Here is a 27,481-nt window from a genome sequence, read left to right as displayed (position 1 = left end):
TAACATGCAATATTTAATACATTCATATATATTTAATGAATTTTTATGCTAAATTTATAAAATATGTGCATGCATTTTTAGGTAAAACCATCCTAACTCCCCTGCATACAGAATTCTGTCAAGTCATATCTCATATACACAGTTATTTCTGAAACTGAGGTTCATTTCTTACCCCAGAAACACCTCAGCTTTTATGCAAATAACTTTCTAGACTGGTTCCTTCTCTGCACACTTATGAGGCATGTGTGGAACTCTCAGAATTGAGCCTGAGCTCAAATCTGAGTTATATAAACTTTGCTTTCTCCTTGGTTACCTCATCTGCCTTTCATTAAAAAAAAAGAAAATTAAAAAAATTGTGTGGAAGATGGGGAGCTCTTACTGTTTTCCTCTGTGATAGATGCAATATCAAGGATCAAGTGTGATCAGGTCTCCTGATTGAGAGCTAACCACACTAGTCTCTGACAGTGCTTGGGACTGGAAAGAAGCTCAATGCTTCAGCCTGGCCGGGACTCACCCTCATTGTAATGTGCTTTCAGGGAGCTTTGGGGTGGTAACTGGCACTGACTAAGCTGATGTCACTGTAGAAACATGTGCATGAAAACAAGTATGAAAGACAATGCAGCGGAAAGACAATTGCCATTGTGGACCAGCTTTAGGGCTGATTTGTTTGGTGATATCCCATCATCATAGTGCCTTCCCAGCCGCAAAGAATGAACACAGGTCATCATAGGAAGCACAGCAAACATAATGGGGCTCCTCACAATACCCAGTAAAACCTAAGGTGAAAGTTAGAAAGGGGAAAGTCTGGAAAATTGTAAATCCTTCTCTCCATTTTACACATATTTGGAAGGGCAAAACAGTAAAACAAAATGCTACCTTTGAATACTAGAGCAATATTATTATTTTATTTTATTTTATTTTATTTTATTTTATTTTATTTTATTTTATTTTATTTTATTTTATTTTATTTTTTGAGACAGTGTCTTGCGTTTGTAGCCAAGGCTGGAGTGCAATGACGTGATCTCGACTCACTGCAACCTCTGCCTCCCGGGTTCAAGTGATTCTCCTGCCTCAGCCTTGAACTCCTGACCTCAGGTGATCAGCCCATCTTGGCCTCCCAAAGTGCTTAGGTTACAGGCATGAGCTACTGCGCCCGGCCAGAATGCCGTATTTTTAATTGTTCCTTGTGCGGTCAATAATTTCAAGGGCAACCGAAACAATACTATAGCCATTTGTCATAAGAAGTTGTCGAGTTTGTCCTCTGTAATTTCTACTGCTTCCCAGTTCTTGGGGACTCTAGTGCAGAGCAAATTTTTGTGTAAAGTAACACGGTAAGAACTTTCTGATACTTTTAGCACCATTTAGCATGGATGCCACATAGCCTTGTAGCTAAGCATCAATTTTATACAGTCAATGACAGAAAATGACACGCTGTTTTTATTAATTTGATTATTTACCCTAGAGCACTTATGCATGAAGACATTCTAATAGGTTATTATTGTGATATCTGTGGCAATTAGCTCTTTCATCCAGCTGCCCTAACCTCACACTCCTCCCATTCCCACATATTACTGTAGGATTTTCTGGAAATAAGTCTTTTCTTACTAAAAGACATACAAGTAAAAGTGATAGGATTAACAATAGACTAAGAAAGTATATATAATTAGTATTTTTCTGTGTATCTTTAGCATGGATTTTTACCAGAATCATTTAGGGTATTATAAGTCCTGACTTTTCCTGCTTACTGTACTTGGTATTTATTTTGCATATAGACCACTTCAACTAAGTAAGCGTCGCCATAAGCAAATGGCAATGCTTACTTAGTTTGTAATGTAAAATCATAACTTGTTTATAATGTAAAATCATTAAGAATTGTATGAGTCATACATTATAAAATTCAGCATACCCTTTACTATTATGCAATAATAGTTAAGCAAAACTTGAGCTCATTTATTGCATATAGTAAAGGGTTATTTACTTTATTATAATCTTATCACTTTTACCTGTGTGTATTTTAGTAACAAAATAAAAGATTTATTTATCAGAAAAATCCTACACAGACATCACAACAATCACCTATTAGAATGTCTTCATGTATAAGTGCTCTAGGATAAATAATAATAATAGTAAAGGTTATGCTGAATTTTATGATGTATGACCTCAAGTTTTGCTTAATGTGAGCTCATTTATTGCATAACAGTAAAGGGTATGCTGAATTTTACAATGTATGACTCATACAATTCTTAATGATTTTACATTATAAACAAGCTAGACATTATATTGATCAAGAAAGTAATCTGGTACAAAAATTAATGCTACTATAAAAGCTTCGTGCTGTAGTTTTGTGTTCAACATAATCACAAATCAAATAAAAGCTTATGTAAGTATTGAGTGAGGATGTACTTGTAACTATATCATTGCAAACCCATAACAATGGTCTGGGGTGTTATTATCCCCATTTCACAGATATAACTTCTCCAAGGTAATATGGCTAGGATATGGCAAAACTAGTCATGAAACTGAGGTCTGTCTGAAGCTCTAACAATAAATAATACTTCCTCCAGATAATAATACCAGCTACTATAATTGCCATGTACCAGGAATTACTCTAAAAACTTGAAGTATGTTATAGAACCTTGAAGTATAATATGGCATATAGTCCAGCATAAACATACACACCCATCCTTGTGAGGTTATTATGCCTATTATACAGACAAGGAAACAAATTTAGAAAGATAAAATTATTTGACTAAAACATACATGCTAAATGACAAATATGACATTTAAACTGACATCAGTAAGAATCCAGATCCTGTTTAAATTAACATTTGTATGTAACATGAAGGTTGTAATGTGGAACTTTCCACTCAGTCACTTCAGTACCTCTGGCACTACGCTTACTATTTACATATATCAATTTTACTGACTTGACAGTAGTATTAGATGGAGGTAAAGAGCTCAACTCCTAACATATTCATTAAACTCGTACCCTTAAGCAAAGTAATCTCTTGTGCCTCAGTCTCCTCCTTTTAAAAGTAAGCATATACAATGCCATTAGAAAGATGCATTGAGTTATATCATGTATCTGAAATTAGGGTATCATATGTAATAAGTGCTCAAAATAGTACCAGTTATTACTTAATATAGTTTTAAAACATATTTGTTGCCTACATAAATACGTTTTAAAAGAAACACTTCTATTTAAACCATAAGTGGGAAAACAATTTCATCTATATAAATACTAGAAAACCTTAAAAATACAATTAAAACATAACAATATTATTAAATTCGGTTGCCAGCCAAGATCTCTGAACCCAAGAGCTATTCTCTGTCAAAAAGAAAGCTTTGCAATTGTTAAGGAGATGTGAAAACATGTTAACAACAACCTGAGTTCTACTCAGATTAGAGAAAAGTTTAAAAAGAGAACATTGTTTCACTGTTTCGATTCCTTTTTATTTAAAACTGGTGTGTATATTGTACTAAAACAGCACCTGCAATTCCAAAATTTGGGAAACAGCAGTATAAGCAAGCATACCTTTTATTTGCTGTGAGTCATATCATTCAGTATAAACTTATATGAGAAGTATTTTTGTCTTTCAAAACTGTACAGATAACATTTTAGGGGGTATGAATGATAAGTCATAAACAAAATGCAAGGAGCATGAACTCATAACTTAAGCTGGAAAAAACTGGAGCTGTCCTGCTCAAGGAACGGCTGTCATCTCTGCTCTGACAATGAACTAAGAGCTGATGTCACCATATGGATAGAACAGAAAAACACTAAACTATTCAGAAGTGGCAAAGTATTCAAAATCAAGATGGCTGAGGAAGCCAGCTTCTGACTCAGGAGCTGAAAATTTTAGGTAAAGAGAAAAACCACTATCCAAGGCTACAGAAGTTCTATTCCAAAGCTTAGTTTCGGCAAAGGGTACTACCCTCCCTCCTAACTGGCTCTTTGAAAGATCTAGATTTGCCAAACCCTCTAAAGGTACAAAGGAAATGACAGGCGGTATGACATAGTGGTAAAAGTGGTGGACGTAAGGAAAACAAGGATCTGGCTTGCCCAAGGAATAGAAGGAAGCTGGTAAAGCATAAAAGAAAAACAACCTTGTAGTCTGGGTCCTCATGCGGGCTCTACTCCTGTGAAGTCCTACAAGCTGAGCCAATAAACTAAACTTTCTTACTGAAGTCTCTAACTGACTGAGATAATGTCTACAAATGACAGGGCCTACATCAGTAATTCATCAAATGAACCCACATGTGATGTGTAGGCCCTGATTGGACATTGTTTTTGAACAAATCAACTGCAAAAAGAAAAAAAATATTGAGTCAGTAGGAAAATAGGGAATAGGGGCTGGGCAGTAGCTGATATAGTGTAGTAATTACTAATTTTATTGGGTGTAGCAATAGTAATGTGGTCATGTGTCTTTTTTTAAAGTTTTTACCTCTTAGAGAAGCATTGTGAAGTCTTTACACATAAAATGATATTGCACCTGTGATTTGCTTTAAAATACTCCAACAAAACAAACCCACAAACCAGGGTACTAGACAAAATAAGTATGGCAGAAAGTGATGGGAGGTGTGTCCATGTAGGTTCATTGTATATTTTCTCTGTTTTTGTGTGTATTTAAGTATTTGCGCGTGCTTACGTGCATGCCCACAGGCATGCACACGTGGACACACACACACGGTTTTTTTTCTAAATAAGTACATTAAAAGATCGTAGTACCAGCATCCACCAATAATCTGCTGTTGTCTTCGTGAACTTTCTTATAATTACACAGTGTAGAACTTCCTGAAAACCTAGGCAGAAACGTTTGGCCCTCAAAATAAAAGGAAGTACCTCCACATAGAGAGGTCTGGAAATCAGCACAAATCCACAGAGAAGTAAGATTGCTGTGGAACAAAATAAGAACAGAGTTTAGAGCAAGAAGTGCTGACCAATAGTGGTCTCACTTGGAGGTAAATACAGAAATTCGATTTGGAAACAAAATCAGGCTACTACCAATCATGGAAGCAGTGTAGTTCTGTAGCTTTGTTTAGCTCAGATCTTTGCTTCAAACCCATGCACATTTTTTTATGCAGCCAGCTTTATATTTTGCTTCTTCATTATTTTTTCAGTTGCTTGCTTCTTAGAAAATCACTCTTTCATAACATCAATCTCTTTATAGTTTTTTCAAGGGGAGGGGGGATTGATAAATTTCTCAGTCCTTGATTGGACAAAAGAAGACAGCTTTAGGCCCCTGGTAACCAGATGGATGAATTCAAATAACTCCAAAGAATCTAAGGAGTGGAGACAGATAGAAGGAAGGGGCATCCAGGAATGTGTACAGATATAAAGTGGGCAAAGATCTAGATATTTCAGAAAATATAAATGGAATATATATGGAAGCAGTGAAGAAAAATTATCAAAAGCAGTCTGGAATAGATAAATCTGATTTCTAAATGCATGTCTCTATCTTCATTTTTTACCTACTAAATGGGCAAAGTAGGTGCACCACATGAGGTTGCCATGAGGATTAAATGACGTAATGCACATAAAGCACTTCAAACATGCAAGCGCTCCATAAATCTAAATAATCGTTAAAATGCATAAGACTTTGCTCAGTATTCCAAGTAATTTTGTCAAGAGCAGATATCCTTGACCCATAAATGCAGCTACGTGGAAGACGCTATTACTTCTTAAAGCAGCTCAACAAATCAAAGAAAGATATACAGCATTGCCAGAACTTGCATTAATATTAACCTCCTCTCTTTATTGTTCCACTTTTAGATTATAATACCCACAGGTTTTGTCACTCCACTTTAATCCTGTCCCTATTTATTCCTGTGCCTATTTAACTCTTAGCATAATTCTTTCTAGGTTATTATAGCAGATTTAAAAAAATCCTGGGCCAGGCGCGGTGGCTCACACCTGTAATCCCCGCATTTTGGGAGGCCAAGGCAGGTGGATCACCTGAGGTCAGGAGTTCGAGACCAGTCTGACCAATATGGTGAAACCCTGTCTCTACTAAAAACACAAAAATTAGTCAGGCGAGGTGGCAGGCACCTGTAATCCTAGCTACTTGGGAGGCTGAGACAGGAGAATTGCTTGAACCCAGTAGGCAGAGGTTGCAGTGAGATGAGATCATGCCACTGCACTCCGGTCTGGGTGACAGAGCGAGACTCCGTCTGAAGAAAGAAAAAAAAAAAAAAAGAAAAACAAATCCTTGTTTTGGTTTGGCTTTTTGGATCATAGCTAGAAATAGTTTTTCCAATAGAAAGAGTAATCTGAATGTTTCTGGGAAAGGCCTGGACAGCCACACACAAAATGTCACCCTCCCAGGTCTTGCCACAGTGTGTGAAATCCTATTAGTCATTCCTTTAAAGTCATGAAAGGCTTCTGCTAAATGCAACTGCTAGATGGGAAGAAAACAGGTAAGGCTTCTGTCAGCTATTAAAACTCCACCTTCAATTGCTTTTTCAATTTCCCCAGCATGCTTTCATTTATTCATTAAAGAGTTCAGCAAAACATTATTGAATGCATCCTCGGGGAAGGGATTACAAAATTGAATGAGCAGTGCTCTCAACCCTGAGGAACTCAGTCTCAAAAGCAGACAGTAGAGTATAATGTTAGGAGTGTTGCCATTGAAATCAGACAAACTTGGTTTCAAACAGTAGTTTTGCCATTTCCCCTTGGGGAAAACCTCTATATGCTTCAGTTTCTTAAATGAAGAAACTTTTATTTAAGGTTTTTTTTTTTTTCAATAAATAAGTTAATGTGTAAATGCTTTGTCAAGTTACTAGCAGGGAATAATTTAGTAGGTATTCATCATTATTATCATTACCATGATTTTTATATAAATAAAAATTATAATGGACCATATGTTTATATATATAATATATATGTTATATATATATTCAAAGTGCTTTAGTTACAGATACAGTGCAGTGTCTAATACTTCCTGGAAAACTTAAAGACTGCTCCTAAAGAGGGGATAATAGGGTTAAGTGTGGAGTCATTGCTGTCACAATGGCAGCCCGTGGGAAGAGTCTTGAAGAGAAGTGAGGCTTTAAGTAGAACTGGAGCAAAATATGTTAGTTGGGGAAATGTAATATAAAAAGGTTATGACGATGAGCTGTGGGAGTTTGCAATGGGCCCTATATGCCACGGTAACTGGCTTGGACTTTTAATCAATAGACATCCAATGAGAAGTTTTGGAAGAGTGATGAAATCATATTTGTTTTTGAGAAAAATCAAGCTGTCAATTGTGAGGAAGGCAGCCTAAAGCAGATAAGGGAACTAGTGATAGGCCTCCAAGGAAAATGTTGCTATCATCTGTGTGTTAAGGCAATATTAGAGGGACTGAAGATGAAATGCAAGTTTAAACAACACTTCCAAAGTAAAATCAACAAACACTGTATTATATCACAGGACAGTAGCTCAAACCAGTGTACTGAGAGCAACCTTGGAAATCCCCTTCACGACTTCCTCTATCTGCCAATATTCTCCTGCCACCCAGTCCCACACACATTCACTCTATCACCAAGACCTGTTGATCTCAAATCCTGAATCTCTCTCTAACTCTGTTCTTTTCTTGCTATCTTTACTGTCATGATCTTACATAGGCTATCACACTGTCTTCTGTGGACTATTTCATTAGCTCTTTATTTTACTATTGCTAAGCTCATCCATTTCTAGTTTATCCTTATAGGCTGTCGTAGTAATGTTGCTAACAAAACTTGATCATATCACTCTCCTAGTTAAAATTTTCCAATGGCTTTCCAATGGCTTTAGCTGTTACTCAAAAGATAAAAGATCAACTTAATTATAAACAAACCAGATACCTATTTCTCCATCCTCAATTATGGCCATACCAGTTTCAAGAGTATCAGTAGATGAGAGATTTTGTTGTTTACTCAAAAACTAAGGGTCTCTGGTTTGCATGTGCTCTCTATGTCATGAAATCAATCACAGTTTTTTGGTGAATTTTGACAGAAAGCTTGCTACCACAACTACAGAGTCATTTAGTTAATCTAAGTAAGGAATTAAAGGCCCTCCATAATCTTTCCCCAGCTTATTTCCAACATGACATTTCCAAATCTTCCCCTGAAGAAACAGGTGCATTCATCATCCTTTCTCGGAACACGTCTTGTGCTTGACCACTTCAAAGTTTCTACTCATGCCATCTCTCTTGTGTGAAACTCATTGCCCCTTTCTCTCTTCCTCTCCAGACCCTAAACATTCTCTGCAATCATTTTGCTCCCTGAAGCACCCGCAAGTCACCTCAGTCCACAGCGTTCACCCCCTTCTCTGAAATGCCCTAGCATTTAACATCTTACTATTCATTTGCAATTAACAATCAGTTCCTGCCTTTTGCTATTGCTGTATTGTTGTATTCAATTATTATTTATCTCTTGCTTTGTTTTATAACTTTTAAAGTTTTATACTTTATTTCCTAAACTGGACTGTAATCTCCTTGAAAGCTAGAATTTTGGCTTCTACTATTATTATTATCACTTTTAGGCCTTACAGAATATCTTGTATATATTAGGGATTTTGTGGTTGCTAAATTAACGTGTTGACTGATATAATACATCTACAGAAGAAAAAATAAAAACAAAAACAGTTGAAGTTCATAAACTAAAATCTGTTTGAGTTAATGAGCATAACTTTTTACTTATTAAATGTTACAGTTTTAAGAGAATAAGTGCAAACACATCAATGAAATTTTAATTATCAAATTTATTTAGATAGGCAGGAATATCTGTGCTTCCTTTGTAAAAGAAAAATCAAAAGCCCTATAACGATACAGTGCCCAATTCCTGTTTAGTTATACTGCCCTCTAAACAGAGAAAACCTTATCTTTTAAAGCCAAGAGTTGAAGGAGGAAGGAGGAGGGAGGCGTTGAGAGGGGCCAGAGAAGGAGAAAGGGGAGAAGGGACAGGAAAAAGAAGGTGCAGAGGAAGAGATAAGGGGAGGAGAGTGGAGGGGAAAGGAAAAAGAAAAGGGAAAGGGAACAAGAGAAAGGAATGGGGGGGAGGAGAAGGGAAATAATCTCTTCTCATTAAACTGGTTGTCAAAGTACTTTCCAAAAAAGAACACAGGATCCTGTTTCTGACTAAACCAGCTTTGTTCATTTTCCCCTCATGTTCCTCTTAGTGACATGGTCAAAATTGTGGCTTTGAAGGTCATTCTGGTTGCCTGTAGGAAAGTGGAACTGCAGACATGAGGATAACATGTAAGGGAGATGCATGGAGTGCCAGAGTTCTCCCTTCTCCATCCATCCTTCTCATTGGAAAGAGTGAGAAGATTTTGGAAACTTTTAGAGGTTAAAAAATTAACATAATATTTCTACTTACCAAGAACCTAGTGGCTTTCTTCTGTAATTGATAGGGGAAGGGACATGATGCACCAAACATGTTACTGGAATTAACTCTAGTATAGAAAGCATGACACTAAGTTATGGAAAACTTAACAATCACAATGTGGGCACTATTCCCTCAAAAACCACAGCAAGAACAAAGCAAAACAAAACAAAATCCTGATTTTTCTTATAGGAATTTCTTCTAATGTGCTCTTTCAATCTGCTTTTTAAAATACCTAGCAATAACATAATAAGTTCCATTTGATCCTTCAACCCTAATATAATTTTGTAAAATTACTGCAACTGAGAAGTCTGAGTAGAATTAAAATGCTTTTGGATGTAAACATTTTTTAATGGTTCAGAATCATCTCATTTATCTAGTCAAAATTGCTTTGGTATTTCATATTGGTGGAAAAAATAATATAGGAACAACATTATCCCTAGCAGAGCAGTGAGATGGTAATGAAATCCAAAGTGGTGAAAGTGGCGATTCTGACGAACTGATTCTTGCACTGCCATCTGCCTGCTTCCTCCCTTTGACACAGCAAGTTATTTAATGTGGTGAGAAAGAAAGTGTTGAAGCAGTATCATTATTTACTAGAAATCACATGTCAGGAGTTCAGTTTAAAAAAATAATAATCCAGGAAGTTCAGGCTAAGCAAAACTTGGGTCAACAGATGGCTTACGTAAATGTGTGGGTTAGGTTTTACTGGGAAACTCCAGCCTCGAATAGGTGACAGCAGTCAGATCTGGAGCCCTTCTTTCCTTCAAAACAAAACCTCTAAGTAGGAGGAAGGAGTCAAAAGCAGTCACAACCCAAGTTAGCACAAATAAGCAAATGGCATATAGTCACCTATCTGGCGTGACTTCAGACGCACGCACACATGCACAAAATATTCTCTCCACTCCCTTCCATCTAAAAAACCTTTGAGAGTTTTTTGAAACTTGCCTTGTTTCTGCCAAAATACAATTATGTGCAGTGTGAACTGAATTTACTTGAACATTTTGTGAAAGGAGAAAGGCTGAGGCACAACTTCAGAAAGATTTAGTGGTGAATCATTATTCTTTTCAGCCACATATTTTCAAATATATTGTTTGTGGGATCATTTTCAGAAGATTATATAGAATATGAAGTATCACCAGGACGCTTACTATCTTACAAACCTCATCATCTTTCTGTGGCCCTCACATGCGCACTGACCATCACAGCCTTCCTTCGAGTCCTTGACTTGAAATGCGTGCCCGTCTCGGAGTCTTGGAACTTGCTGCGTCTCCCACTTGGATGCTCTCCTGGCCATACAGGAAGGTTCTGGTCTCCGGTTGCTCCTCAGCTCGGTAGTCCCCTCCACAGTGAGGTCTTCCCTAGCTATCCCACCTACCAACTCACACCACCAATTCTGTCCATCTTCTAATGCTAATTTATTTTCTTCCTTGGCACTTCTCACTGTCCTCCTCACATTTTTGGTCCATAAAATGCAAGTTCTATTTATATATACCCATTCACTCATGTTTATTGAGCATCTAACTTATGCCTGACACCATTCTAGGTACTTGTGATTTGGCAGTGAACAAAAAATGTTCCCCGTCTTCACAGAGCTTACTTTCTAGTTATGGAAGAGAGGGTTTTTCTGCAAGAAATGTACAAATGAAGAAACACATGTAAAAACGGAGAAATGACTTAGAGGGAAAAAATAGGGCAGATTAAAGAGGATTAGGAATGTCAGGTTGCAGGGTAAGAGTAGATTGCAATGTTAGAGTCAGGGTAAACCACAGAGAGAAGGTGAAGTTTCAGCAAAGAACTGAAGGAGGTAAGGGTAACAGACATGCAGATATCTGATGGAAGAACATTCCAGCAAGGGGAATCACTAACACAAAGACCTAAAGCAGAAGCAGGTGTGGCATATTCCAAAAACTCAAGAGGGTCACTGTGGTTGAATAAGTGAGGAGGCGAGTAGAGCAGAGAATGCCTTGGAGTCAGTGAGGGCCAAGTTCACACAGAGCCTTTATTCTGATGGAAGCTGGGAGCCACTGAAGGGTTTGGGGCAGAGGCATGAGATGATTTGACTAATGCTTTAAGGCAGTAGTCCCCAACTATTTTGCCACCAGGAACCAGTTTCGTAGAAGACCATTTTTCCATGTTGGAGGGATGGTTTCAGGATGATTCAGGCAAGTTAAATTTATTGTGCTCTTTATTTCTATTATTATTATATTGTAATATATAATGAAATAATTATATACCATAATGTAGAATCAGCGGGAGCCTTGAGCTTGTTTTCCTGCAACTAGAAGTTCCCAGCTGGGGGTGATGGGAGACAGTGACAGATTATCAGGCATTAGATTCTTGTAAGAAGCACACAACCTAGATCCCTGGCAGGTGAATTTCACAATAGGGTTTGCACTCCTACAAGGATCAAATGCCGCCACTGATCTGATAGGAAGCAGAGCTCAGGCAGTAATGCAAGCAATGCAGAGTGGCTGTAAATACAGATGAAGCATTGCTCACTTGCCCAACGTTCACCTCCTGGTTCCTAACAGACCACGAACTGCTACCATTTCATGGCCCAGAGACTGGGGACTCCTGCTTTAAGGGATAACTCTGCCTATGAGTTGAAAACATGCTATAAAGAAGAAAGGGAAAAATGAGACCCTACATACCAGGACACCACTATACGTTGAGCCTTTGGGATACACTGTTTGTTGAATTAATTAATATATGAATGAATGAACTACAGAGGCTGAAGAATAAGAGACGCAGAGATCCTCACAAGTATGAAGTAAAAAGTGATATGTCTTCTCATCTTTATGAATCAGACACAGTATATTAACATCACACATTATAATTATGTGTGTGGTTCTATGCCTAGATACATATATGTAAATATTTACTGTTTGTTCTCTGTGAAGCACTTTTAATTTTGACAAATACCTTCACCTATTTTATGCTACATGTATAAATATCCACATAGTGTCATGTTCATTAATGCCAAGCTACTGCTATATTAGGCTACTTCCATTTCCTGAAAAATAGCACATTCTAATACTGCTTAGTTGAGGTGAATTTTTTAAATTCTGATGAAATAAGTCTCATCTTGCAAAACTAAATGTCATAGTTTCAATTCCCATTTAGTTATACTAGTTTGAAAAGAAAAAAGTTCCCACAGCCACAGATTCTTTTTCAACCTGACAAACTTATTTCTGAAGACTTTGGGCACAAGAAAGGGCTCAAAGAGTGAATCTGGAAAGCCCTATACGAACCCATCTGGAATAAAAAGAAAGCACAGATGGCCTATTGGCAGTAGATTCATCTATGAAAGACAGCAGAAGTTTAAATGTACTATTTTTAAACATGCCAATATAGTTTCAGGATTATCAATTTCAAGGTTGAGTAACTGTAAGGTTTGCAGAGATTATCTTGTTCATCTAGTTAGTCACAAATATTTATCAAGCATGTACTATGTGTCCGCACTGGCAATACAGAGTTGAGCTGGACAGTGTCTGTGCCTGCGCAGTTCGTTGCATGCATTCTCAATTTTGGTAATGTCACCCTTGGGGAGAGAAAATTCGTTCTTGGCTGAGACACAAAAAGGCTTACTCTTTCAGATGTATAAAACACAGATAAATATATGGTACATAGACATACAGTATATCCGTGGTAATAAAATTTCACAAGGAGAGGTGATTAGAAAAAAAAATATTTCAGAAAAAAAGACTCCCTGAAAAGCCATTACAGCAACAAGGGAAGGAAACAAGCAAGTGGATGTCATGAAATATGGTAACTACAGTGATAAGGAAAGTACAAAATGCCGTAGCTCCATATACCAGGAACACTTAACCTGGTACAAAGGAGGAGTGAGGGAAGGCTTCCTTGGCAAGGCTGCACTTCAGCACCGATGTGAAAGAGGTTCAGTAAGAATTACTCAGGCACATAGGTAAGGAATGGTGTGTTACAAGCAAAACAGAGAAGAAGCTGACGCAAAAGTACTGGACAATCGTAAACACAGACTTTTACTGAGGAAAATCTATACAAACCCCTAAATTATCTATGTTGGCTAATTTGGCTTGACTAATTTGGCTACTTTTATAAAGTCAGGCAACAGAGGAAACACTAATAAGTGAAAGCTGAATTCCTATCACATTTTTGGACTTCATGTCTGTCGTCTCTGACATAACGGCCTTTCTTTGCATGGTCTGCCATCATCTCAGTAAGGCCCTTACCGCCTCTTGCCAGAGAATTCCAACCACCACTGGCTTGTCTCCCTTTCATCCTCTTATGGCAGCAAAGCAACGTGAGGCTTTCTGGAAGCAATGTGCCAGCTGAGCTGCCTGGAGAGCAGCCCTTAGGTACCCCTCTCCACTCCACATCTTCATGCTGATCCACATCGATGCCTTAGCCTGTCAGTTAAGAGTTTGTAGAATCAGGCTCTAAACTACGGAACAGAGAGAATTTGAGTATTCCTTCAAGTCAATAGTTCTTAAACTTTTAGAATCTGGAGACAGCTATAGACCTCCCCTTATTCACCAAGTCATAGATATTTAGGGTGCCTACTATGTGCCAGGCACTGTTCTAATCACAGAAGAAGGAACCTGGATAGAATAGACAGGGTCCTTCATTCATGGAGTTTGCTTTTTAAAGAAGCAAAGGAAAATAGAAAATACATGAACAAATAAATCTAAAAATATCAATGATGAGTGTTAGGAAGTAAATCGAGAAAGGGTAACAAGTTAAAAAAGTGACCTCAGATTAGAAGATAAGGGAATAAGAATAACAAGTGACATCTGAGCTGAGCCCTGAATGATAAAGAAGCAGCTATGGGACTATCTCAGGGAAAATTGCCGCATGCGTAAGTAACGGCCGTATGGTGCAAAGTCTTATGGTGGAAATGAAAATGCACAGAAGAGGCCAGGCATAGTGGCTCACGCCTGTAATCCCACCACTTCGGGAGGCCGAGGCGGGCGGATCACGAGGTCAGGAGATTGAGACCATCCTGGCTAACACGGTGAAACCCCGTCTCTACTAAAAATACAAAAAATTAGCTGGGCGTGGTGGCGGGCGCCTGTAGTCCCAGCTACTCGGGAGGCTGAGGCAGGAGAATGGCGTCAACCCAGGAGGCGGAGCTTGCAGTGAGCCGAGATCGCGCCACTGCACTCCAGCCTGGGCGACAGAGCGAGACTCCGTCTCAAAAAAAAAAAAAAAAAAAAGAAAAGAAAAAGAAAATGCACAGAAGCAAAACTGATAGATGTACACCAGATTGGCTGGCTATACTGTCATCAAAGCCTCATTTTCAGTATCAATGGCTTAATAAATTCCTCTACTTATGCATGCTTCCCATGGACCACGGGATCTCCCCCAAAACAGCAAGTAAAGTTAATGTCGCCAGGAGACTGTTCCTCTGTACTGAGGGCTGCTTTCAAGTTCACTGGTTGGTGTCCAGGTCATATCATTTGTTAAATATTTCTAATATTATCTCTGTACTAAAGCATAGTACAGACATCATACAACATCAAAGGTGTACCTGGATGCCCTAAAATCCATCTTGTATCTTTGACTAATAATCCTAGCTTTATGTGCTAACAAAGTGACAGCATAATAGCCATTCAACACACAGGAAGCAGATTTCTTGGGTCTGAATTTTAGCTCTGCCATTTACTTAGCCATGAGAACCTGGGCAAATTGCCTAAAATTTCTGTGCCTCAGTTTCCCATAAAATAAGAACAATTATGTATCATAGGATTTCTGTGAGGGTTTAGTGATACAATGCATGTTAAGTATTTGAAAGGCCTTTGGCATATTAGACATTATTACAATGGTTATTACACAACTTGTGAATTCCTGCTAAGCTATGCTTACCACCCCGGTCAAATGCATTATATTCTCTCCCCCAACTTGCCTTTTTTCTTCATTTCCACTGTCTGAATTTCCACCAACTTACAAAGCTCAGATAAAATGCCACAAACACCACAAAACTTCTACTGGTTACAGATTATAAAAAAGCCATTTCCCTTCTCTGAACAACTATTAGTACCATCTAGTACCAACTATTAGTACCACTGTTTATATCACCTAAATATAACTTCAATCAGTTACTATTTTACAACGTAATTTTGTGTATTGTTTTGTGTACTTATTCACTGGATTATAAATTCATTTAGAGAAGCACTATTCCATAGACATATAATTTGAGATACATATGTAGTTTAAAATATTCTATTAATAGTAACTATTTAAGATGTTTAAAAAATAAAAGAGGAAGTTAATTTTTATATATTTTATATAACCTCATATAACCAAAATATAAATTTACCATGTAGTCTATGTAAACAAATTATTAATGAGATAGTTTATATATTATTTGTACTGAGTCTTTGAAATGCAGTGTGTATCTTAAACTTACTGCCCATCTCAGTTTAGACTAGCCATATTTCAAGTGCTCCACAGCCACATATGGGCAGTAGTGACCATTCAGAACAACACAGCTTTAGGGCATGTATTATCCTTTACAGCTCTGTATTTATCACAAAGCCTAGCGCAGCACATCCCCTATTTCAGAAGTTCAATATTAATATTTGCTAAATTACTTTAATGATTTATTTTAAATCAGTGCAAAATCTAACCGCATGGAAAACACATTCCTGCTAGTCATAGACAAAAAATATAAATGTGGGAAAATGATTTTAGCTTTCTTTAAAGAATAAGAAGTTTGTTTTTACCTCAAGATTAATGAAGTAAATTTTTCAGTTATATTTCTTGTTAAAAAGGTAGTTTAGATTCACCAAGTCCTGTTTCACTGAAATAAACTGTAATATACAGCAATAAAATGTATTTATTTGTGTGTTTGACATGTTCAAAGAAATAATTTAATCCTACTTTCTGACATGAGTAAGAATTTTAGGCAAACATAACTCATGAAACAACCATGCAGAATCTGGTAAGTTTCAGTATAAATATTTTGAGGTCATTTTTCTCTTCACCATGACTTTTCCTTAAAATGATGTGCTCTGTAATGTATTTTTTTCATAAATGATTTTCCAGTGACTCAGAGGCAGTTACAGAAAATGAATGACATTATTTTCATAGTTAGCAACAACATGCTGTGGGGACCAGACCAATCTGAAGCATTCTTGTTAGAAAGGCTGATATGAACAAAAGGAGAAATCCTAACATGTTTTCTAATACTCTAAAATTGGACCTACCTACTCCTTCTTTATTACCTCTATTCTTACCTTTTCTTTTAACTGTATGTGTCTCTATGACTGAAAAACTGATTGTGTTACAGAATTATAAATAATTAACAAAATGTAGTAATTAGAAAAGTAAAATAACTCACCTTTGGCAATTTCAATGGTAATTTGCAAATTGGCAACTGAGAATGGTTTTCATTAATTACGAGAGATTGATTCAAGTTGGGGACTATCTTTCCTTTAGGTACTTTATAAACGACAATGGTGCCTTTGTAATGAGGGCAACTATAGTTTCCAAATTCGTCCACTTCTTTGATTTGGAGTTCCAGCCTAGGTTTTCTTTGCAAGTGAAAAATAAGTGTGTAGTCTTTTCCATAATCCTTCCCGTTGCCTAAATAGAAGTAAAATGTATTTATTACCATTAAGTTATCTCACTTTGGGAGGCCGAGGCAGGCGGATCACGAGGTCAGGAGATCGAGACCATCCTGGCTAACATGGTGAAACCCCGTCTCTACTAAAAATACAAAAAATTAACCGGGCGTGGTGGCAGGCACCTGTACTCCCAGCTACTCGGGAGGCTGAGACAGGAGAATGGCGTGAACCCAGGAGGCGGTGCTTACAGTGAGCGGAGATCACGCCACTGCACTCCAGCCTGGGCGCTAGAAGGAGACTCCGTCTCAAACAAACAAACGAAAAAGATGTGCCACTTTGTGTTACTTAATTTTAAAAAATCCAAATAATTATTTTATTTTAAAAATACGATTAAAACTTTTGTGTATCATTGTCTTTTGTCAAAACATAACCTGACAAAGGAGCAATAGGCAGAGACCATGTAGATTACTCGAAAGATTTCTCATCGGTTGTTGGGCCAGGTGCTCTCTGGCTGCTTCTAAATCAAGTAATCTTTAGCTTTTCTTTCTCTATTCCATTTTGATATAACCAGAAACTACTTGAAATATTCAGCTTTTGCAGCATTTAGAAAATTATTTTCACCCGTTGAGAATTATCTTTTTCCTTTCCCCTAACTATTCATATTGTGACCTCACAATAGACATTCTAGAACTGCACTCTCCTATAACATGTGGCAATTTAAGTTTAAATGAAAATTAATGAACAGTAAATAAAACTCAATTTAACTCCTCAGTCAGTCTACCCACATTTAAAAGTCTCAATGACAGCATAGGCATAATGGCTACCGTAATGAACAGCACAGATATAAAACATTTCCACAAGTGTGGAATTGGACAGTGTTGATCTAGAACTTTCAGGTGTAATAGTTATTGAATTTGTGTTACTGAAATTTCTATGAAAACCTGACAGATTCTCCTAAAATGATAATATATAAATGTTTTATCAACTCCTTACTGAAAATTCTAGAGCTTTTGTGAACATAACCTTTCACTTACTGGGGTTTTATCATGACAATCAGGATATTTCACGTTGTTATTTCAACAGTAGAATAAACACTACCATGTTTCCTAAGGCAATATATGTCTACATCAAAATTTGTAAAATTTGTAGGAAGCTATAATGTAGCACTTAAGATGATATGTCTTGGATGTATAGATCTAGGTTCAAGTGCAGCCTCTATGATTTGTGTATTCTGTAATATTTATCTGTTAATACTTGTCCATTGTTTTTCATATCTCTGAGCTTCTTAGAGCCTGAGCTTCCCTTAGCTTCCTTACCCTTAGAACAGGAGAAATAAAGCTTAACTTCTAGGATTGTTTAGGAAATGAAATGAGAAAATTTGGATAAAATAATTGTCATAGGGCCTGGCACACAGTAAGTGCTCAGTAAATGACAGCAATGATAGCAAATGATAAGAGGCAGGATTCTTCCACTATTTGGAATTTGCATGCAAAAAAAAAAAAAAAAAAAAAAACTCAGATTGTTTAAAGAAATGTCAAGACGAAGCTTTTTTTCTTTTCTTTTTTTTTGAGACTGAGCCTCACTCTGTCACCCAGGCTGGAATGACACAGCTCCACAGTGGCACAATCTCAGCTCACTAAAACCTCCACCTCCCAAGCTCAAGCTGTCCTCCCATCTCAGCCTCCCAAGCAGCTGGGACTATAAATGTGGGCCACCACGCCTGGGTAATTTTTTTTTTTTTTTTTTTTTGTAGAGACGGGGTTTTACCATGTTGCTCAGGCTGGTCTCGAACTCTCCTGAAGGCAAGCAATCCACCCTCCTTGGCCTCCCAAAGTGCTGGGATTACAGGCATGAGCCACCGCACCTGGCCAAGATTTAGCTTTCATGTCTACATGGAAACTTCCTTCGGTTATTGTAAGCCAGCATGCAGTTGACTGCCCAGAGTTCTCCCTCATGGAAAACTTTCCATTTTGCCCAGTGAACAAAGACTTCAGTGAGAGATGTAGAAGATACCATGACCCTTCTCCCGGTCCTGACTGCTTGAGATCATTTTGGTGATTTTTCTAAAGCTCAGTTAAATCTAGAAATAGAATAACTCCAGATTACAGATGGTGTAGGAGTAGATCCCTTTGCAAAAGTTTATATTTGAGAGGCAACCTGGCTACTTGGAAAAAAAGAAAAAAAAAAAAAACAGATTCCTAGGAGACAAATGAGTAGCCAGGGTTTGTCTTCTTAAGAGTGTCTCACTTTGGTTAAAAAAAAAAAAGTAGACTATTTGGGGTCATTTAAATGTTATCTAAATAGTAAATTAGGTAAATTGGGGTTTCCAGCTCACTGGAGTAACATCTGGCTAACTTCTGTTTCCATACTACTAGAGTGCTGTCAAGAAAACTTTTACTACTTTGGTCCCTGTGGAATACCAATTAGTAAATTTCCCCTTCTATCCCTTGAAAGACATTATACTCTCTGCCGGGGGCACAATTATTCATAAGAAATGGTTTACACAGAGGATATAAGGGTTGAGGGTGAGGCATAGCCACACTGGTTCAATTGAGACCTAAAATGTATACCAATTTTTAAAACTAAAGACCTCTAGGGCAACTCTCTAAAGATCACATTTATATATGTAGTTGGGATGAAATTATTGAAGATTTACTAGCAGTAAATAGCATAATCTTCATGTTGTAAACAGAAACCATTATGTAATTTTGGAAAGTTGGAGTTTCATTGTTGTTAAGGCATAATAATATATTTTAAAGACTCCTGGCCCCTGAACAAAAAATAAATCCAAAAAAAGAGAAGTGGCATGAAGAAACTGCACTACTCTGTTTTTTTTTTTTTTTCCTCCCTCACTGGCATATTTAAAGGAGAAATAAAAGAAAAACTCATTCATTCCATACCCAAAGTGTAAAATCAACCAGTAATTGACCTTTTGAGAATCTTTTTCTTTTTCTCAATATCTTAAGTATATAGTCCCCTAGAAGTGTCTTGAGATAGTAGCTATTTAGTAAATACTTGTCATGTAAAAAGTTCCAGAATGTACTTATATTTTGTGGATTACCTGCTGTCCCTTATAGCAATATATTTTCTTCTCAATAATGGGCATTAAATATTTTTCATTGATGACATAGAAAATACAAATGTAACAATAAATATTTTTGCTTAGGGAAGTCATATTTAAAAAATTGAAAGTGCTAGCAGTCCGGGAAACCAGAAAAACCCTGTGAGAACCACTGGCTCAGTGTATTTCTATATTGTAACCCATTCCCCACCAGCTCTACCTCTAAGCCATGCCATTTTTTGCCTGGTTTACTGCAATTAAACAGTAACTGATCTCCTTGCTTCTCCTCTTGCTCTAAAGCCTATTCTCAACGCAGTTATAATCTAACTCTGATCACTTCTCTGTTGAAAACCCTTCATGTTTCCCCAAATCACTCAGCAGAAAAGGCAGTCTTTCCAATGGCCTACAAGGCATGATCAGTTCTCACCTCATCTCCCACAACCTGTGCTCACTCCCTCTGATCCAGCCATCTCAGGCTCCCATTGTTCCTCATACACACAAGGCAAGTTGCCACCGAGTTCAGTGTCACTGGCAATCCCTCTGTCTGGGATAAACTCCCTGAGATAGGATTATGGCTTGCTTCCTCACCCGCTTAGAGACTTTTTTTTTTTTTTAATGTCACCTTTCCAGAAAGGTCTTCCCTGAGATAAAACTGCAAGCCTGCTACACCCTTTAAGGTCCCCCTATCCTTTCCCTGCTTTATTCTTCTATAATTCACTTTTCAGCCCAAATTAAGCTATGCATTTTATTTACTTATTTGCTTATTCTCTGTCTTTCTTCATTAGACTTTAATATACCTAAGATCAACAAATTTTTGTTGAGCAAATTAAAGAATGGTTATTATATAGGTGTAGAGATAGATGTAGAGATACATCCTATAGAATATCTAGAAAAATCACTTCCCTGGGCCAAAGGGCATTCAGGGCAACTTTAAAAGGCAGACCTCACAGGGCATTACTAGATGTTATGGATGATGCCATGGTGTCATTATATAAAATCATATTAAAACACTTCCTGGCACTTTCTGGATTTTGTGTGCAGTTGGGGCTTGAATAACATGCAATAATCCAAGTGCTAAACTGACAACTCTAACCTAGAGAATGAAAGCTTGCTGTAGCTTGTTTCCAGAAGAATGCCAAAAACCGTCATAAAAACCAAAGGACGCACCTATCCATCTTCCTTCCTATTAGAGATAGAAATACAGTCCATGTCCTGTGACCTTCACTGAAAAGTCATTCATATTCTCTATAAGTGAATAGAGAGATTTTGGCATTTCTCAAAGGCAGTAATCTAAATTTATTAATTAAAGTTTTAAATACTTTTAATTGCACTTAATACTATAATGCTTTTTTTCTAAACTTTGGTCTTCATTTCTTTCAATGAATACTGAGTTTATTCTAACTGTCAGGCTCTGCCCTAGGTGCTGGGGACTGAATGCTGCCCTCCAATAGGATGGAGACTGAATGCTGCCCACCAGCAGGACAGTGCCTCCATGGATGTGACCATGGTAGGAGAAACTGGCATTGGTCAAACAATTAAATGAAAAAATAGAAAATTGCATGTGACAAAGGCCACAAATGAAAAAAGGAGGATCTGCAAAAGTATAATAGAACTATTAAAAAATAAAATAAGGTCTGACATAATCAGGAAGGATAGAGAAAGCTTCTCAGAACATGATAGTTGAGGTGAGATCTGAAGATACAGCAGGAGAGAACTGGGGGTGAGGGTGGGGGTGGGGAGGGCGAGGAGAACCCTCCAGGCAGAGAATCTCTAGCTTTATCTCTTTGAGATTCACAGAGACTACGCTAGGCCCTGATAAAAGGATGGATCTATGCTTTTACCAGGATGAGGTATCAATTGTTTACTGAGGATCTTTTCCCTCTTAGGCAGAGAAAAACCCAGTGAGGCTCCAGATCTGAGCCTGTCTCCCTAGGAAAAGCAAACCCAGGATCTGGGTATCCTGCCTGCTCATTTTCCCTGAATGAAGATGAACTCTTCCCCAACCCTTATAGGGAGGAATTGCACAGGTGACGGCTGCCTTGGACGCTCTTGGTTTAGCACGTGCTCCCCGGTCTCCACAACAGGCAGTGGGATATTCAGTACCACTGCTTGTGAGTAGAACAGTAATGCACTCCTATTTAGGGTGGTTGGTAAACACAGCTGCTGTCCACAGTATTACAGGAAAATCATTTGCATCATTCGTTTGGGTGGGACCCTTCTGCTTAGTACTATGTCTCAGTAGAGAGATTTCTCCAGGGTGGACGCTGTGGTTTCTGCTCCGGAAGCCAAGTAGGAAGGGGCCTCTTCCACCCTTCCTTCCTCTCCCTCCTCTCTCTTCCCTGCCCCCTTCTCTGCCATCTTTGTCACTTGCTCACTAAGTCCCGTCAGCTGGCTCAGATGCTGAGATCCTGTATGTGACAGTAGAATAGACACTTAAAATTGGGACACTTTAGGTCTCACTTATTCCTGAGATATCAAAAAAGCTGGGAGGGCAGCATCAGCTTCAAGCCTTGTCCCTTTTTTGAAGCAAAAAAAGAACCAATGAAGCTTGGAGCTATTTCCTGAATCAGAGAGAAAATAGGCATAATAAAATTAAATCGGATCCATATTAATTTATAAGTAAACGGAGCACATCCCCTCAAGTAAAGTATGTAGAAAGCCTCCTGGAACAGAAATCTTCATAAAACCTGTCCGGAATTTTCCCTCTCACCTCATTTTTACACACACACCTGTCTGATTCTATTCCACCACAGGGCAAGCAGTTAGAAAGAGGAAGGTGTTGGCTTAATGAAAAAGAAATTGTTGTGATGGCAACTCTTTCAAAGACGTTTCCTCTCTATTCCCACACAGCTGTTTTCTCTTCTTGTTCTTTTTCTTCCTTTTCTCTTTCTCTTCATCTCTTTCCTTTGAACTCTTTAGTCTCATCTATTCCTTCACTTCTGTAATCTCTCCTGCCACCTCTCATATTCATCCTGCTTGCTTTCCTCATCACTGTCATATAATCATTCATTCACTACACACTTATCAAAAGCACTTGCATGTTCACTGCAGCACTATTTACAATAGCAAAGTCATGGAATCAACTTACGTGCCCATCAATGGTGGACTGGATAAAGAAAATGTGGTACATATACACCATGGAATACCATGCAGCCACAAAAAAGAACAAAATCATGTCCTTTGCAACAAAATGGATGCAACTAGAAGTCATTATCCTAAGCAAATTAATGCAGAAACAGAAAACCTAATACTGCATGTTCTTATAAGTGGGAGCTAAACCTTAGGTGCACATGGACATGAGGATGGCAACAATAGAAACTGGAGACTACAAGGGCTGAAAAACTCGTTGTTGAAATCATTCTCTAGATATAAATCTATCAAACATTGTACAGAAAAAATGAGGATGATAGTTTATTTGTCAGTCAATGATATTTCTTCAGTGTATTTGATTAAAGTGTACAATAACTGGTAATACATTACTGGTGTCAGTGTTTAGTTGGGTTGATATAAAAAATAAAGCATTTTGTAAAGAAAAAAAAAGTTTTGGATATACCAGTTCCTATGTTAGGCTCAGAGGATATATTAACAAGAAAGACATGGTCATTGCCCTCATGAAGTTTTCATTCCGGTGAAGGGTAAAGGACATAGCATAACTATATGAACAAAAAGTAAATAAATTAATTAAATAATTTCAAATTGTGGTAAGATTTAGAGTGAAAACAAAAATAGCACTAGAGAAATATGGGAAAAGAAGCAAGCAAGGTATCTCGGCTCACTGCAACCTGCGATCTCGGCTCACTGCAACCTGCAACCTCCGCCTCCCGGGTTCAAGTGATTCTCCTGCCTCAGCCTCCCAGCGGCTGGGATTACAGGCACCTGCCACCACACCCGACTAATTTTTGTGTGTGTGTGTTGTGTGTATTTTGAATAGAGACGAGGTTTCACTATGTTGGCCAGGCTGGTCTCAAACACCTGACCTCAAGTGATTTGCCTGCCTCAGCCTCCCAAAGTGCTGGGATTACAGGCGTGAGCCACACACCCAGCCTAGATCAATTATTCTTAATTTCTTTTTTCCCATAGACTCCTTTAGAGTTTGGTGAAAACTGTCCATTGATTCTCAGAGTAGTCTTTGAAAAATATAAAATAAAATACATGGAATAAAAAATATAGCAATAATACTGAAATATAGATCTATTCACACATTTTTGGGAGTCCACTGACCCCCAGGTTAGATTCTTTGTAAAACATCTTAAAGAGTTTGGATATTATTTTAGATAGAATAGGAGGTAAAAATAAGGTTGTAATCACTGGTATAATATAGTATGATTTATGTTTTTAAATGATCACTCTTATTACCACATGGTAATTGATTTCATATGGCCAATAATGGAAGCACTTAGAAGGCAACTTTACTCCTGTAGGAAAGAGATAATCCTAGCTTGGACTCAGATAGTAACTGTGAAGAAGGCTATTTCTAAAAAGTGTCACTTAGAATCTTCCCATAAAGGAACATGCATTCCCTAAGTAGAGAATAAAGAAATAGGAACAAAAAAAGTATAATAAATAAGTCTTTTTCTCTTCCTACTTCCTAAAGTCTCTCGTCAATCCTCTGAAGGTTTCCTTAGTAACACAAGTTTAGCAAACTCTTCTGAAGAGCTTGTGGCTTATAGCCAATAAAATATATAAAAAGATTTCTTTATACTTACTTGAAGCAAATATGTTTCCAGTAAATCTTAAAAGAAGTTGTTCTCCTTCTCGAACTTGGAAATGACGAGATGGCTCTGGAGGTCCTCCAAACCCTTCCAAGTGCAGGTCCTTAAGCACCTGGCTTAAATCTTTGGAAGGCACCACTAAAACAGCTATTCTATGTGGATTGTCCTTCTGGTGAGACAGTACTATGCAGGCAGTGGTGCTGAGCATGGCTTCCTCTAAAGATTTCACAAAAGTAACCAAATGACTATTGTCCATGGTGGAAGAGAGGTGAAGTACAATAAACCTGCATGGAAGAAAGAGGTGAGACCCCAGGGAAAAATGCAGTGTCAAGAACATCACTGATATCTAATAACACCCAAGAAAAGAGTCATATCAAACAGACGTCTTTTAAAATCAAGTATTCTCAAAGACAACAGGTGAGATTCATTAATGATTGTAAAGAAACTCTTGGCCATCAAGAAACCAGCTCAGGCTGGGCACAGTGGCTCATGCCACTTGGGAGGCGTCCCAGCACTTTGGGAGGCCATGGAGGGTGGATCGCTTGAGCCCAGAAGTTCAACACCAGCCTGGGCAACATGGCAAAACTCAATCTCTGTAAAAAAAGAAATAAATAAAAAAAGAAACCAGCTGAAATCAAAATAAATTCTAAAACATGTTCTTAAACGAAGAAGTCATACAGTCTCAGCTCAGCTCTAAACATGGCAGCATATTTTAAGTGATATTTTAATTAGAATTACAAAAGAGCATATTTAAAATATAGAAGAGAAAGATGAGCACAATAATTTATTGACTCCATAGGATGCAGAATGTATACCATAATTAAATGGGGATTAAAATACGCATCTCTGTGTAGGTGGGAAGGATCGTTAGGATGGACGTTGGTAGGAATTGCATTGTGTCTCACCCTCCCCACACACATACACATTCATATGTTGAAGTACTATCCCCTAGTACCTCAGAATGTGACCTTATTTGGAGATAAGGACTTTACAGAAGTAATCAGGTTAAGGTGAGGTCGTTAAGGTCTTCTCTAATCCAGTATGACTGATGTCATAAAAGAGGGAAATTTTAACACATAGAAATGCATACAGAGAAAACACCCTGAGACCATGAAGATGGCCATCTACAAGCCAAGAAAAGAGGCCTGGGCAGATCCTTCCCTCACAGCCCTTGGAAGGAACAAACCCTGCTAGCACCTTGATTTTGTACTTCTGGCCTCCAGAACTGTGAAACAATAAGTTTCTGTTGTTTAAGCCACCAGTATGTGGTACATTGTTAGAGCAGCCTTAACAAACTAATACAGACCTCTTTCCCTGGACTGGGCTACCCATTCTCAAATTCTTCTTCAGTGATTTGGCCTAAAAGAGGCCCTCACCCAGAGCAGCCCTACATCCATAGACAAGGACTGACCAATGTGGGGATGTAAGGCCAGCCGCCTTGGTACTCGCACTGCAGAGCTCCCCGGAGCGTGTCAGGCTACAGAAATACTTCATCTGAAACCATGGTTTTTTCCATCTTCCTCCTTTGCCCTACAGGATTCACCCAAGAGCTTTCTTTCAATAAATCACTTGCTTTTCATCTCAGACTCTATTCCTAGGAAACTGGATTCAAGACAATCATAAATGTAAAACTTCCCATTATGAAATAAAAGCTATTTTTAGATATATGATCACCTGTCTCTATGAGTGGCTACTCTTCATGAACCTTAAATCTGTCTAAAACTCTTCTCATAATGGGCTGTCTAGAAAACATGGAAATGAGAAAGCAAAATGAGGGCACTGAAGTAACAAATTCCGCTTATCTATACATAGTTATGAGATATGCATAATATGAACAGTTAATTACTATCTCCATGGTATTTCAGAAATGAAGGTGCTATTTTAAAACTATTTTGGAGTTAGCAGAAACCTGTAGTTATGAGTGCTTTCCCAAAGTACTTGTTTAACTATCATAAATGAAATTACAGATAGCATACCCATGTCAATTCTGGTTTGTATTTTAAGTACCCTTTAAAGAATGGTTAATATTTCTATTCGAAGAATAAAAATTTAATCTTACTATTCCATTTCTATAAACACCAGTTATGACCATCAGAAAGAGTATCATCAACTTTGATTGTTTTTGATGGTATTACCTCTCCAAATGTTCATACAATTCAACTGATACCAAGCCGCTCTGTATGGTTTTCACAACATCATCAAGCCCACACCAACCACTGTCTTGGCTTCTGAATCCCAGTAATTTCAAACATTCACTGGCATTTTTCCTAGGTTTTCTTATGGAGGCAATTTTTGTCCTATATAATGGTAACAGAAGAGATATTGGTACAATTTACATGATATAAATCTTATTTAATGCATTCATTCTTTCATTGTGAATGATCTAATAACAATTCATTAAGTACATACTATGTGCCAGGAATTATGCTTTGCACCAGGAACACAGAGATCAAACTATATAACCCTTGCCCTAAAGAAGCACGTAGTAACACAGTATTATCTGATTACAGCACAAGGTGACTTGTGTGATAATTAAAGAAACGTACAGGGTGGTTTAGGAGCAGAAGCAAGAGGTTCGGGAAGCTTGCAAAGTGAAAATGCTAATATTTGAGATGAGCTTTGGAGAATGACAAGCTTTTTGCAACTGGCAAAATAGATTTAAGAGAGTACCCAAAAACATTAATAAACTCGCTGATGTAAACCCAGATGCTCTAGAATAGCAAAGAGTGGTTGTATAGCAAAAAAGGGAAGAGCACACACCCAGGAGCAAAACTGCCCAGTTTCAAAGCCTGGGTGACTCTGCCTCTTAT

General features: G+C 37.8%; 1 protein-coding gene across 11 annotated transcripts in view, besides 1 other annotated feature; it reads right to left on the bottom strand.

Moving 5' to 3' along the window:
* DTHD1 (death domain containing 1) overlaps positions 1 to 27,481 on the bottom strand; it is a 65,896-nt gene that overhangs the window by 14,353 nt on the left and 24,062 nt on the right. For 8 of the 11 annotated variants that reach the window (NR_160267.1, XM_011513693.3, NM_001170700.3 and 5 more), the window contains 3 exons: positions 26,807 to 26,968; positions 24,666 to 24,955; positions 16,673 to 16,917 (listed from right to left, as the gene is read on the bottom strand). Coding sequence is in view for 8 of the 11 variants with exons in the window: in XM_011513693.3 (XP_011511995.1) it covers positions 16,673 to 16,917; positions 24,666 to 24,955; positions 26,807 to 26,968 (697 nt within the window). In the remaining 3 variants the exon portion in view is untranslated. Of the gene's footprint in view, positions 1 to 13,562; positions 13,740 to 16,672; positions 16,918 to 24,665; positions 24,956 to 26,082; positions 26,274 to 26,806; positions 26,969 to 27,481 lie in introns of those variants that run through there. The other 3 variants (NR_165630.1, XR_007057923.1, XM_011513695.3) reach the window with 3 other exon arrangements.
* Positions 329 to 458: an enhancer, noted in NCBI's record as "active region_21408". NCBI's record gives its function as "activates an Ori minimal core promoter by ATAC-STARR-seq in GM12878 lymphoblastoid cells {active_cell/tissue: GM12878}" and the evidence as "EXISTENCE:reporter gene assay evidence [ECO:0000049][PMID:35858748]".

The sequence above is a fragment of the Homo sapiens genome, chromosome 4, assembly GCF_000001405.40.
Source record: "Homo sapiens chromosome 4, GRCh38.p14 Primary Assembly".
NCBI classification, from domain to species: Eukaryota; Metazoa; Chordata; class Mammalia; order Primates; family Hominidae; genus Homo; species Homo sapiens.
The sequence above is the reverse complement of the archived record's forward strand: the minus strand, read 5'-3'. Positions and strand labels throughout refer to the sequence as shown.